Raw genomic sequence first — 12,302 nt, 5'->3', positions numbered from 1 at the left:
CTAAACTTCTGCCTCTCTCCTGAGATGTATTCCCATCTTGCAACTCTATTAACTGGGTACCCACCCGGTAGCCTGAGCTGAGGTCTCTTTCTTGAACTTACCTGGTACCTCCATTTTCAGCCTTGTTCTTGCTGTCTCCTCACTCAGGAGCTGATCTGTACCTGAATGCCAAGCAGTTGCGTCCCATGACTTACTGATGGTTCCCTTCCATGCTAATGCGGTACCTACTTCACAGTGGGTGAATACACATACAGCACTTAGAGCAATGCCTGACATGTAGTAAGAGCTAACAATAACTGTAGCTTTGTGATTATCACTGATGTTCTAACTCCTGGATGTTCAGTCCACCTGTTGGGATCCCATTACGCCAAGATGGACCATCTGCATGGTGCTATTTCACCAGACTCCCAATGCACCATGGATTGATTCCACATGCTGCCTGCCAGACCAGACTTCTTCCTGTAATTATAACTGAGTCTGTCACCTCCCAGAACCCACCACACCCAGTGGCCAGAACATGCCAAACCACATCCATACAACACAGGGCCAAAAAGTCTAAAATGTGGTTTATCTTCCCAACCCAGCAACATAGCTAAGAACACAGAATTTGGAGTTAGAGGGTGGGTTGAATCCTGGCCCCCCTGCCTCTTATGTAAGCATATGATCTTATGCAAGTGACTTCAATACTCTAAATCTCAGTGTTGCATCCATAAAAAGAGGATAATAATAAATGTGTCATAGGGTTATTGTCAGGATGAATAAGATAATGTAGGTACAATGCTTGACACACAAAAAGCACTCAACACACAGTAATTGCTACTGTTACTTGCATTATTATTCCTAAGGCAAGGATGCATGTGATATGAAATACATCTGAAGGGGAAAATATTTCAGGACCTAGAACCAAAATTCTACTTCTGGAAACCTGTCCTGAAGGTAAACTTGAGCAGATGTGCCCAGATGTGTCCAGAGAAGGTGTCCATTATTTCTCATAATAAGAAAAATGTTCATTAGATCAGAGTTTGGGCAGTGTATTAACTTCCCAGGGCTGCTCTAACAAATTGCCATAAACTAGGTGGCTTAAAACAACAGAAATGTATTCTCTCTCGGGTATGGAGACCAGAAGTCTGAAATCCAGGGACCAGCAGAGCCACACTCCCTCTGGCAGCTCTAAAAGAGAATCATCCCTTGCCTCTTCCAGCTTCTAGGGGCTCCAGCCATTTCTCGGCTTGTGGCTGCATTACTCCAATCTCTACCTCTATCCTCACAAGATCTCCTCTCCCTGTGTCTTCTCTTCTGTGTCTTCTAAGGGCACTTGCCACTGGATTTAGAACCCACATGGTTACATCAGGATGATCTCATCTCTAGATCCTTAATTTTCCAATAAGATCTCATTCACAGGTTCGAGGATTAAGATGTGGACATATCTTTTTGGGGGATGAGGGTTATCATTCAACCCCCAAAGGCTGGAAACCAAAAACATCCAGCTGTTTCTCACAGAAACCTGGTGAAACAAACTGGATCATGGTGGACTCTACCCCGCAGCTGTGGGACGGACCGAGCTGGACTGACTGGCAAAAGGGAACAGCAGAGTCAAGGGTGTCAGGTGGTACAATCTGAATAATGAGAACAAACAAATCATGTGTGTTTAAAAGCAATGTGTGCCTGTTTGCGCACAGGAGTTTTTTATAAGAATAAACAGGAAACTCTTGTCAATGGTGGTTTCCAGAGAGTGGGATGTGGTAAGGAGACGGACTGTAAGGGATGTAACCTTGCTTTGTATGTTACACCCCTCTCAACAGTTTGATTTTTTGATCCACTTGCCTGCAGGCTCTCCAACAGAGTTCCCTAAAGCCCAGTGACTGCTATCACCCGGGATCCCTAAGAGTTCCTCTGCATGAACTGCTACAGACGCAATGAGGATAAAGACAGAAGCCTCCAGGACGCCTCCCACCAGCAGCACCTTCCCAACCCCCAGAACCCTGTCTGCTTCATGGTCCCTTTCACAACTTCAAAGCCTCTTTCCTCCCTGTCTCCCCAAGAAAGGGCCAATCTGAACTAATTAGGTAATCAGACTCAGCTGAAAATTTAAAAGCAAAAATGCCTATCTGGGCACACACAAAAAAATCTGATACATGTATGTGCTGCAAATGCAGACTCATCAAGTTTCAGCAAGAAACTTTCCGTGTTTTTTTTATCCCACAAAAGCCTTCTTTGTCTGCTATTTTCTTAAAAGTCACAAAGAGAGCCTTAGAGATCTGCAGCTTACCCTTTAAATGGAATGGGAAAGTATTTCCAGACATCAGATTCCTCCACCTGTAATGCAAATTTAATTAACACTCGGCAAGGTCTCCCCAAGTTAACCAGTTATTACCAGTCTGGGGGCCCCAACCTTATTAGAGTAGCTTCCTCTTTCAGAGTATCCAATGTCCTTCCAGGTCAAAAAACCCATTAGGAATGCTGGCTTCCTCAATTTGACAGTGCGTCAGGTGGTCATGAAATGAAAGAATGTTCCCTTCGTGAATAACCTTCTGTAACTTCCTTTTTCAGTCACTGATCGTTTCTCGACCTCTAGAGCTTCCCATTCAAATGGTAACATTCTGCAATGAGAACAGCTCTGCCTTAAGGTAACATATAAGTAAGAGTTTGGTAATATGGCTTCCTGTTGGGAGTTCCATGAACTAAAGCCTTGGGTGAGGTCCACAGGGCACGAGCTGTACTAACCATTGTTCTCTAAGTTAAGGACCTACTGCAGCACCAGAAATCACCCCTGCAGGGACCATGCTAGGAGCCTCCCCTGGGGTCTCCCTGAATCCAGATTCCCCCCTCTCCTGTTTGCCTCCCATTGCCACACAGGAGAAACACAACCCTCATCACATGTCACTCCCCAGCTCAGGGTCACTCAAGGCTTCCTGTTACCTTCCCAGTGAAGCCTGGACTCCTCAATTTTGATGTCTAAGACCCGCCTCAACTGAGATCCATCCTGTGGAGGACACATTTTTTGAGAAATGATCTAATTTTTTTTTCTTTCTGGTACATTCCCCTTCTTTCCTCCTCAATCAAGATAGGAACAGGTCCTTATGTTCATTGATCTTGAGAGACGGGTATGACCTGAAAGCAGCAGAACTAGCCTACAAATGATCCTGACTAAGCCTAAGCACAGATGGGAAATGGTTCTCATGTGTAGAGCAAGTAACCTGCTACCAGAACTACCAAGTTCCACCAGACTAGAAAGAGACCTGCAGCAAGCAGGACGGAGAAGAGATGGGTTTCTGGGTTCACAAGCAGAGCTGCTGGGGAAGGGACAAGACCCCAACAAGGGAAGGGTGGTTTGTGGTGGAGCTTGGCAGGCAGCAGCCTCACAAAGCTTCCCACACAGCAAAGAGCCCAAGGGCCTGGAGAACTGGGAGGTTTTCTGTCTCAGGAGTACCTTGCATTAGCCACCAGTGAGGACCAGATGCCCACCCAGTGAGGACCAGATGCCCACCCAGTGACCGGCAAAGGCAAGATCCCAGGACCAGGACACAAGGCAGAGAGGAGATGACCTCAAAAGAAGAATAAAGAGATGCCTCCTACAGCATGGTCAGAAATGAGCCTGAAATATAAACGGAGTTATGATCAAAAAGTGAGTAGGCTGAGCGTGGTGGTTCACGCCTGTAATCCCGGCACTTTGGGAGGCTGTGGCAGGCGGATCACGAGGTCAGGAGATTGAGACCATCCTGGCTAACGTGGTGAAACCCCATCTCTACTAAAAATATAAAACAATTAGCCAGGCGTGCTGGTGGACACCTGTAGTCCCAGCTACTCAGGAGGCTGAGGCAGGCGGAGCTTGCAGTGAGCCGAGATCGCACCTGCACTCTGGCCTGGGCAACAGAGCGAGACTCCTTCTCAAAAAAAAAAAAAAAAAAAAAAAAAAAAAAAAAAGTGAGTCATACTTTAGCCACGGTTAACTTTGTGGACTGAAATTCATCCCCACTATGCTACCTGTCCTAGTCTGTTTGTGCTGCTATAACAATACTACAGACTAGGTAATTTATAATGAGCAGAAATTGACTGGCTCACAGTTCTGGAGGCTGAGAAGTCCAAGATCAAGGGGCTGACATGTGGTAAGGGCCTTTTTGCTGCAACAATCTCATGGCAGAAAAGCAAAGAGAGGGCAAGAGGGAGAGAAAAGGGGGCTGAGCTTATTCTTCTAAGAGGAACCCACTCCTGCAATAGTGTCATTAATCCATTCATGAGGACGAAACCCTCACGGCCTAATCACCTCTTAAAGATCCCACCTCTTAAGACTGCTGCAGTGGCAATTGTATTAGTCTGTTCTCATGCTGCTAATACAGACATACCCAAGACTGGGTAATTTATAAAAGAAAAAAAGTTTAATTGACTCAAGTTCCGCATGGCTGGGGAGGCCTCAGGAAACTTAACAATCGTGGTGGCGGAAGGGGAAGCAAAAACATCCTTCTTCACATGGCAGCAGGAAGAGAAGTACCGAGCACAGAGGGGAAAAGCCCTTTATAAAACCATCAGATGGTGTGAGAACTCAGTATCATAAGAAAAGCATGAGGGTAACCGCCCCCATGATTCAATTACCTCCCACCGGGTCCCTCCCACGACATATGGGGACTATGGGGACTGCAATTCAAGGTGAGATTTGGGTGGGGACACAGCCAAACAATATCAGCACCATGAGTTTGGGAGAAGACAAACATTTAAACCACAGCACTACCTTTTCAGCCTTCTCTCTTACTACTCCCCTGTTTAGAACCAACGTGCTAACAAATCCAGGTCCTTTCAACATTACAGAGCCCGAGATTTCCTACCCTGATGGATTGAGCACGGAATTCCCTCCACAACTACTGCCCTTCTCACATTTCTACCCAATTACTCTGACCCATCCTTCAATTCCTAGATCAAATACCACTTTACATATGTGTGTGTGCATGTGTGTATGCTCGTGTGTGTCCATACATGTGGGCACATGTGTGTATATGTATATCTGTGTATAGGTATTGATGGAGTTTAGGACAGGCTACCCCAAAATATGGCACCTTGACATTTAAAAAAACAGCAGAAGCAGGAAGGTCACTCTCACCTTCCCTGGCCCTTCTCCCCTGAAGCCGGTCCTAAAATCTTCATTCCAGAGGCATCCTCCCTATACCCAGAGGAAAGAAACATTCTGATCCTCAAAGACACTGAGACACCAAGAAGAACTGAACAAAGGGGCTTTGCTAAGTTCCCCCCAGTATATTACTATTAGATCATACCCCCTTTGTCCAATCATACTTCCACACAAAAGTTCACTCTTCATCTAATCTAAGCATAAAATATAGAGGTTTCCCTGTTTCTTTGGGTCTTCACTTCTGAAAGCTCCCATGTCAAATGAAACTTATATTAAATAAATCTATACGCTTTTCTCTTATTAACCTGTCTTTTATTATAGATGCCTCAGCCACGAACCTTGCAATGGGTAAGGAAAATACTCTTTCTCCTCTACCATATATGCATATATGTGTGTGTATATACGCATGATATATACTATACATTGATGTGTGTATTGAAAGTACATGAAGAAAGTGTATGTATGTGCAAGATTTATCCCAGAACAAAATCTTTAAGTGCATCCAGTATAACTTTTTCAGCTGAGATCCCAGTACACAGTGCCTCAGTAACTATTCAGGGAATAAATGGGAAAAATTAAATACATGAACAAATCAGTAAAGAAAAAAACTGCTTTCAAAGATTGCTATGTCAGTTATTTGAAATAGAACAGTCTTTCACAGAGACAGTGCTATCTATAAAATACAATATAATATACAATAATATGAATGCATACTTTTTTAAAGATTTGACAAATAGAAATATTAGATTCTCTTTATCTTGAACACAGATATTATAAAAAGAAGAACATTAGACTTAAGTAGACAACAGACAAACAGATAAAGACATAGAAGATTTAAGCAGGACTCCAGGGCCTTTTCAAGGGCTTAAACAAATGGGGACATTGGTTCTAGTTTAAAACATGTGGTCTGGGATGGGCGTGGTGGCTCATGCCCGTAATCTCAGCACTTTGGGAAGCCAAGGCAGGCAGATCACTTGAGGTCAGGAGTTTGAGACCAGCCTGGCCAACATGGTGAAACCCCCATCTCAACTAAACATAGAAAAATTAGCCAGGCATGGTGGCACACACCTGTAAGCCCAGCTACTCAAGAGGCTGAGGCAGCAGAATCACTTGAACTCGGGAGGCAGAGGTTGCAGTGAGCCGAGATCATACCACTGCACTCCAGCCTGGGTGACAGAGGGGGACTCTGTCTCAAAAAAACAAAACAAAACAAAACAAAAAAGTGGTCTCTGCCTTCTTAACACAGTAATATCATTTACATTCTTTTCATTGCTGCTAGTCATAGTTAAAGTTTTTTAGTCTACATTTGGAACACAGAGAAAGAAAGAATAGCAAGTCAAAAGGAGTAAAGAAGCATATGGATTAAGAAGAACGTATGTACATATGAAAAGAAAAGGCAATCTGTTGGAAACTTAACTGTGTTGCAAGTGTGTAAACAGAAGAAAAACAGACAGGTTTCCTAAGAAGCCAGAAAGGAGGTGGGAGGCTGATGGCCCCAGGTGGCTCCATCAGTCCAGGACAGCCTTGTCACCTTTAGAGGGTGCAGGACCAGAACTGGGAGAAGTCTGCAGTGCCACAGAAAGCAGGGTGCAACTGGTTATTTAGAAAAATGGGTCCTTCACAGAAGGAAAAATGGGTCCTTCTATTACTACAAGTTTCAGAAGGTTCAGATCTTATCATATGGTAAAAATGGAAATGCCTGAATAACCACCACTAATCTCACACACACCCTTTCTATTAACATTGGATTTCCTAATATTAATTCTGTATTAATTCTCCAAATTGCCTAGCTCTTTAAGCTCTATGATCAGTTTGAATAAATGAATTGCTATATCCCATCTGCTGGTGTTGTTTTAGTGCAATACAGCTGGAAACATCCAGAAAGCTTCTTCCATCCCCATGTGTGTGTTCCCATTTCACTGTGATACTCTCCATCACAGCACGTACTGTCCTGTCCTGCGATTCTGCCTTATTCATTTGTTTTCTCCATTAGAATGTTTCATCCTTGAGGACTAAGACCTTCATTTATTCATCTTTGGATCTCCTGTGCCTGATGCAAAGTGTTTCATTAATATTGTTAAATAAACAGTATTACAACACTGGTCGGAATATATGAATGGCAATACAAAGAAAATAAAATTAACAGGATAAAAAGAAATATTACCATATTGGCCAACATGGTGAAACCCCGTCTCTACTAACAATACAAAAATTAGCTGGGCGTGGTGGTGTGCGCCTGTAATCCCAGCTACTCGGGAGGCTGAGGTAGGAGAATCGCTTGAAGCAGGGAGGCGGAGCTTGCAGTGAGCCGAGATCGTGCCACTGCACTCCAGCCTGGCAACAGAGCGAGACTCTGTCTCAAAAAAAAAAAAAAAGAAAAGAAAAGAAAAGAAAACAGAAGAGAAGAGAAGAAAAGAAAAATTATTCTATCCCAATAACACAGGAGGGCAAAGGTAATCACCTTATTGAGCTGACTATGTAATATAGACTCCAGCTTAGTGATATGCCACTCTTAAATTTCTACTTTTAAAGACAAATATACATTAAAGAATTTCATTAAAATTAACTCAAGCTTACCTGTGGTTAAACTGTGACTATAAAATCTGCCTGGATTATAAATACTCCTATTGTATGCTTCTTATTTGAATTAAACATAATCGTCCATATAAACAATGTTTACTGTTCCCCAAACTTTTTCCTGATAATTATTCCCACAATTATTCCTCTCACACAGTAAAAACACAGGTAATCAAGATAAGCTTGGCTTTAATATCAGTGGTTCTGGTCACATTATTAGCATTATTATTCACTCTTTTAACAGCACAGCTAATTTTAGGTAAGGTCTAACTGCTTCAAAATTCATAGTTGGTTGGCACTGTGGGCCTGTGCTAACTGGATACCTGCTTCACTAAAATTCTGTCAACTCCACCCTCCAGAATATTTATTTGTGAGGTCAGAGACACAGCCTTCCCATTTCCTTAAGAGAAAATACTGGTTGTGTTCCCAACACTTAACATCACTTAATAATATTGGCTCTGTGATTAACACCAAGTTCATGCTGTTACAACAGCAGTTATCACATTTCATGATTAATGAAGGGTCTCAACCGTCTCCAAAGGCATCAGTGACAAATAAATTGTCTCCAAAATTTATGCATCTAGATGTGACCTTCCTCCAGGCTGCAAGCAATTGCAACTGCATACTGGCCTCTCTTCCTGAATGAACATGCTGTAAGCCACTCAACCTCAAAATCTACAAGGGTGAGTTCACCCGCTTCACCACTTCCCCTCCTGTTCGGATCCTGCTTTCAGTGGACTGATACCCAAGCTGCCGACCTTTTGTTTGCCTAAACCTCAATGTTTACACCCACCAAGATGTTGCAAAAGTAATCTTGTTCAAAAGCGAACACAATTTTTGTTATTACAATTTCAACAGGATTTTTCTTTAACAATATAATGTTTGAGAGTTTTGGGCTTGGTTTGTAAATAAAAGTAAAAAACAACAATGCGTTTTGATACGGTTTGGATCTGTGTCCCCACCCAAATCTCACGTCGAATTATAATCCCCAATATTGGAGGTGGGGCCGGTTCGGGGGTGCCTGGATCATGGGGGTGGACTCTTCATAAATGATTTATCACCATCCCCTTGGTGCTGTCTTGTGACAGAGTTTTCACAAGATCTGGTTGTTTAAAAGTATGTGACACCTCACCCCCCTCTCTCTTCCTCCTGCTCTGGCCATGTGAAGATGCTTGCTCTGACTTTGCCTTCTGCCACGAGTAAAAGCTCCTGAGGCCTCCCCAGAAGCAGATGCTGCCGTGCTTCCTGTACAGCCTGCAGAACCCTGAGCCAATTAAATATCTTTTCTTTGTAAATTACCCAGTCTCTGGTATTTATTTATAGCAGGGCAAGAACGGACTTATACGCTTTTCCAAAAGCAAATCAGTAAATGGAGAAAGCTTTGTATCCCCCTTAGTAATTCCTTGGAATCCCAGTTATAGCTGGACTCAAGGAAATAATTTTAAAGCAGCAATACAACAACCTTCCCATTGATTAGCATAGCACTGCCCAGGTTGTCAGTGTGTGAAGCTTATATGGAACATTCTCCATAGCCGTGTGGCCCTCTTACACTATCACATCTGACAGTGTCCTCTTTTAGAATTCACGACTTGTCTTCCCTATAAAACAGCAATATCACCTCTCTAGCCCTAGAAGTATATCTCAACTGGCAGAGGAGGAGAGACGAAAATTCATCTTTCCTAACCACTTACAGTCAAAACACATATGAGAAATAAAAATAAAATTCTAAGCCCCTCGCCTCACTGAACAGATGCCCTCTTGGCCAAAGGAATGCCACAGAACTCTTGGAAGTTGAAGTCACAGCCATAAAAAGATGAGACATTAGGGTCTGGGCGCGGTGGCTCATGCCTGTAATCCCAGTACTTTGGGAGGCCGAGACGGGTGGATCACGAGGTCAAGAGATTGAGACCATCCTGGCCAACATGGTGAAACCCTGTCTCTACTAAAAATACAAAAACTAGCTCGGCGTGGTGGTGCGGGCCTGTAATCCCAGCTACTTGGGAGGCTGAGGTAGTAGAATCACTTGAACCCGGGAGGCAGAGGTTGCAGTGAGCTGAGATCACGCCACTGCACTCCAGCCTGGGTGACAAGAGTGAAACTCCATCTCAAAAAAAAAAAAGGATGGGAAATTAGGACATAATTCATGATACCCCCTCCCTCGCTAACAGTCATTAGGTTTTCTTCCCTAAGGGCTAAACAGAAACCAGCATTTCCAAAAGACTACTAGCTTGTCTTCCCAGGTACAGAACAAAGACAAGATGAGATTAATCCTTCCTTCACCTCTCCTTGAGACCTCTCCTTCCTCTCTTCTCTTCTTCTTCAAATGGTCACTTTCTCTCACATAAAATGTAGATCTAACTAAAGTCTCACAAGTACATAATCAATTGCCCCATTGCCATACCCTACCTTCTTTTTTAAGGAAAATGTATAAATACTAAACCTCCTATGAACCTCTTTGGAAAAAACCAGTCACAGATTCTTCCGTAAGTCACATTTTTCCCTGGTGAGCTCCCGATCCTGCTCAATAAACCTCAATGATTTGAGACTTATACCTCAATCACTCATTTTGGTTGTCACATACAACTCCAAACATACCTTAATATTCCTTTTTACTGTTGCACATGGGCAATAATAACTTCAACAGCTCAAAGAGGTTTAATTTATTACTAAGAAATCAGAAACTTTTGGTGTCTACTCTTGCATGCAAATAATAGCTGAACAACATATATCTCATAGCCTGAAAAGAGGACCTAATGCCTAGAAAAATAAAGAAGCACATTTATATTGATTAGGAAAAGAAACACCCTTAGAAGAATTTGCCTGCTAAAGCATTTCACTTACAAGTACCTGGAAGTGACTTTTATCAGAATAGCATCGTGTGCTAAAAAGTGTGGATTATATCACTTACTTAGAGTATTAAATTTAATAACCCCCATTGACAAAAACATAACACCCAGTAAAGTAGGTAAATTGGTAACAGGCAGTTGGGTAACTTCAAAATCAGATGTTGGTTCAAACACGCATAAGGCCATTTTAACGGTTCAATTTTACAGCCCATCATTCTTGCATCTTGCCAAGAAAGTGGGAAGGAATTTTTTACAAACATAATTCCAGCATAACTCTCATAGCTGAATAATATCAATTTCTTTGATAGGACCAACAAATAGATGGTTTTTGCAGCTATCTCAAGATATTTTAAATTACAATAGGAGTAACTTTATTGTATTTCAAAATTTGAAGTTTAAATATTGGAATGTCAAGTTAGTAATAAATCAAAATGTATACCTAAGGTTTACCTTTTAGAAAATGTTGCCCCCCAAAAAATATTTTTAAATCATGTATCAACTTTCAATTATCCACAGGTCACCGAAAACCTGCAATGTGAGGATCATACACAATATTTGAATCAAAGCTAATTTTTCCTTGACATCTTAAGTCATTGTGTATAAAGTTAGCCTCCTGAGGAGCTAGAATTACAGGTGTCTAAGAAAGGTTTTAGAGATGCTCAGCAGTTGGCTCTCTCCAGCCCCATCTATCTGTTATCTGAAATTTTACCACCACAACATCTTTTTTTTTTATCCATTTTTTGTTTTGTTTTGTTTTGTTTTTTGAGACGGAGTCTCACTTTGTCACCCAGGCTGGAGTGCAGTGGTGTGATCTCAGCTCACTGCAACCTCCGCCTCCCAGATTCAAATGATTCTCCTGCCTCAGCCTCCCAAGTAGCTGGGATTACAGGCAGGTGCCATCATGCCCATCTAACGTGCTTTTTTTTTTTTTTTTTTTTTTTTTTTGAGATGGAGTCTCGCTCTGTTGCCCAGGATGGAGTGCAGTGGTGCGATCTCGGCTGACTGCAACCTCCACCTCCTCGGTTCACGCCATTCTCCTGCCTCAGCCTCCCGACTAGCAGGGACTACAGGCGACTGCCACCATGCCTGGCTAATTTTTTGTATTTTTAGTAGAGACGGGGTTTCACCGTGTTAGCCAGGATGGTCTCGATCTCCTGACCTCATGATTTGCCTGCCTCGGCCTTCCCAAAGTGCTGGAATTACAGGCGTGAGCCACTGTGCCCAGCCCTAATTTTTGTATTTTTAGTAGAGACAGGGTTTTCGTTGGCGAGGCTGGTCTCGAACTCTTGACCTCAAGTGATCCACCCACCTTGGCCTCCCAAAGTGCTGGGGTTACAGGCATGAGCCACCATGCCCGGCCTTTTTTTGACCCTTCTTAAGGCAGGTATCACCAGCTCTTTCAGTATCTCTACCCTAGTACAGGGCCTAGAGAAAGTAACTGAGTCAGTTGAAACTGCTAGAGGAAGAAGTGAAAAAGGCCATGACAAGAGATGGGAGACTGATGAGAAGAAAATGGTGGCAAAATAATCATTGCTGCTGCATTTGGGCAGATCAGCCCCGGTTTGCAGCTACGTCTCTTTTCTATCAATTCTTAAATGTTAATGAAGTGCCAGCTTATATTTAGTTCAGGACAACATATACGTTAAATCTACTTTTTAGAATTCTGTGAAGCCAAATATAATCAACATCTCAATTATACAGTTTCGGACGATCTGCACTTCAACTTCAGACCATTAGCTCACAACAGAAATAAAATGTGC

The 12,302-nt window shown here is 42.7% G+C and overlaps 1 protein-coding gene across 38 annotated transcripts in view; it reads right to left on the bottom strand.

Moving 5' to 3' along the window:
• The window catches only part of LTBP1 (latent transforming growth factor beta binding protein 1), a 452,557-nt gene that overhangs the window by 313,153 nt on the left and 127,102 nt on the right, over positions 1-12,302 (bottom strand). The gene's annotated exons all lie outside the window — the stretch shown is intronic.

This window comes from Homo sapiens, chromosome 2 (genome assembly GCF_000001405.40).
Source record: "Homo sapiens chromosome 2, GRCh38.p14 Primary Assembly".
Lineage (NCBI taxonomy): Eukaryota > Metazoa > Chordata > Mammalia > Primates > Hominidae > Homo > Homo sapiens.
The sequence above is the reverse complement of the archived record's forward strand: the minus strand, read 5'-3'. Positions and strand labels throughout refer to the sequence as shown.